Below are 1770 nucleotides of genomic sequence, written 5' to 3' on the forward strand. Positions count from 1 at the left end.
TCCCTGTGCTCCAGTTCGCCAGGCGGGCGCGGCGGAGACGGAGACCGAGGAACGCCGCTGGGGCCATGCGGCGCTACCGTGCGTGGTGGCTCTGTGTCTGGCCTGAGGCTTCTGCTCGCTCCTTTACGCCTTCAGCCAGCTCCCCGTGTCCCCGGAGGAAGGAGCGGGCAGTGGTGGCTGGAAGCCGCAGGCCGCAGTGGCTTCGTGGCTGGCGGGAGGCGGATGCGGTGCGGTGAGAGGCGCGAACAGCGCTTGTCCCGCTGCGCATCCCCGCAGGTGGGACAGGTGTAGTCTGAAAATACAGCCCGTTGAGAAAATGTATCTAAGTGAAAGACTGGAAGAAACTATGACCATGTTGAAGTCAGCTATTATTTTCAGGATCAAACCTCTTCAATTCCAGATTTTTGCTGAAGATCAACTACATCATAGCTTTAAAGGAAGGCTTGACAGGGGTCATTCCTACAAATATTTAATTATACAGTATACTCCATAACCTTTCCAAGTGAGAATGCAGCAGAGTGGAAAAACTCTTTAAACCATGTAGTTTGCAGAGATTGTCCTTGCCGTTATTCCTGAAAGAAGTTGACTCTCACACTGATAGCCTTTTTAAAAGACCAGCTGATAATATTTGGTCTTTACTAAAGAAATTTAATTCCACACAAATTCTGAAATGGCCCCAGAACACAAGGAATGTCAAATAGGATGGTATAGTCGCTTTGCTAGGCATCCATAGTGTGGAAAAGCTGGAGTAAACTCTGGAGTTATGTTGACAAACATGACTTGAATGAGAAGGAAGTATTTCAAGAATAATATGACAACTGTATGACTACAATGAGGAGATATACTTATGACATGGCTTAAAATATACAAGTTAAACATTACATGGGCGATCAAGATCTGTTGGATATCCTGTTTTTTCATAATCCAGAAAGCCTTTTTGTCTTTCTGTGTCAATGGAAGTGTCGTCCAGATCATTGTCTATATGGAAGCAGTTGCCAAGAAGCAGAAGAAGGAATCTTTATTTTTCACGGGAACAGAGGTGTTTACCATGATGATAAGCAACCAGCATTTAGAGCTGTTTTTGAAGCACTCAGAAATTGTTCTTTTAAGATGACAATATTCATTCATTAATAAAACCTTTAGAATTGGAACTACAAAAAATAGTGCATACATACCGTGGAAAAATTTACTAAATATTTATCAAACAATTAGCAAAAACATAAGAGATCGCTATGTCAGATCACCAAAGGAAAGGTGATTCTTGTTGCCTGCTACATCAAATGGATGAAAAGAACAAAGCATCGGAGGATAAGTATGAAGGAACTGTCTTGGGTGAAGCATTAAGGCAGGAATTATTCATCTACAGAATTTTTTTTTTTCCTGAAGAGGTTAAATGAGCAGTATTTTCAGGTAATGAAGAATAAGTTAAAATCTTGGGCTTCAACAAAGAAAAATTTTTGGCCTCTGATGTTGTGTAATGTTACTTACTATCATTCCAGTATTGATGAAAATATTATTGAATGGTTTTAGCCTGCAAACTTCTGTTGACTCATACTCTCAAGAGTGGTGGAGCTGTGAAAATGAAGAAAATGTACCTCAAACACAGTGCAAACACTCAGATGGTGAGTAGAGCAATAATTTTATGTCAGCACTAACCTCACTTTAAATGTGTGAGAGAGGTTTGTCTACAGGAGTAGAAACAGTTCTGTTTCTAAAGAAATGTGATGTAACCAATGTAACCATGGATGATCTATATCTGCCTTTACACAT

General features: G+C 41.1%; 1 pseudogene; it reads left to right on the top strand.

Annotated features, from left to right (window-relative positions):
* On the top strand, window positions 1-1451 carry GXYLT1P6 (GXYLT1 pseudogene 6; annotated as a pseudogene).

Source organism: Homo sapiens, chromosome 9 (genome assembly GCF_000001405.40).
Source record: "Homo sapiens chromosome 9, GRCh38.p14 Primary Assembly".
Classification (NCBI taxonomy): Eukaryota; Metazoa; Chordata; class Mammalia; order Primates; family Hominidae; genus Homo; species Homo sapiens.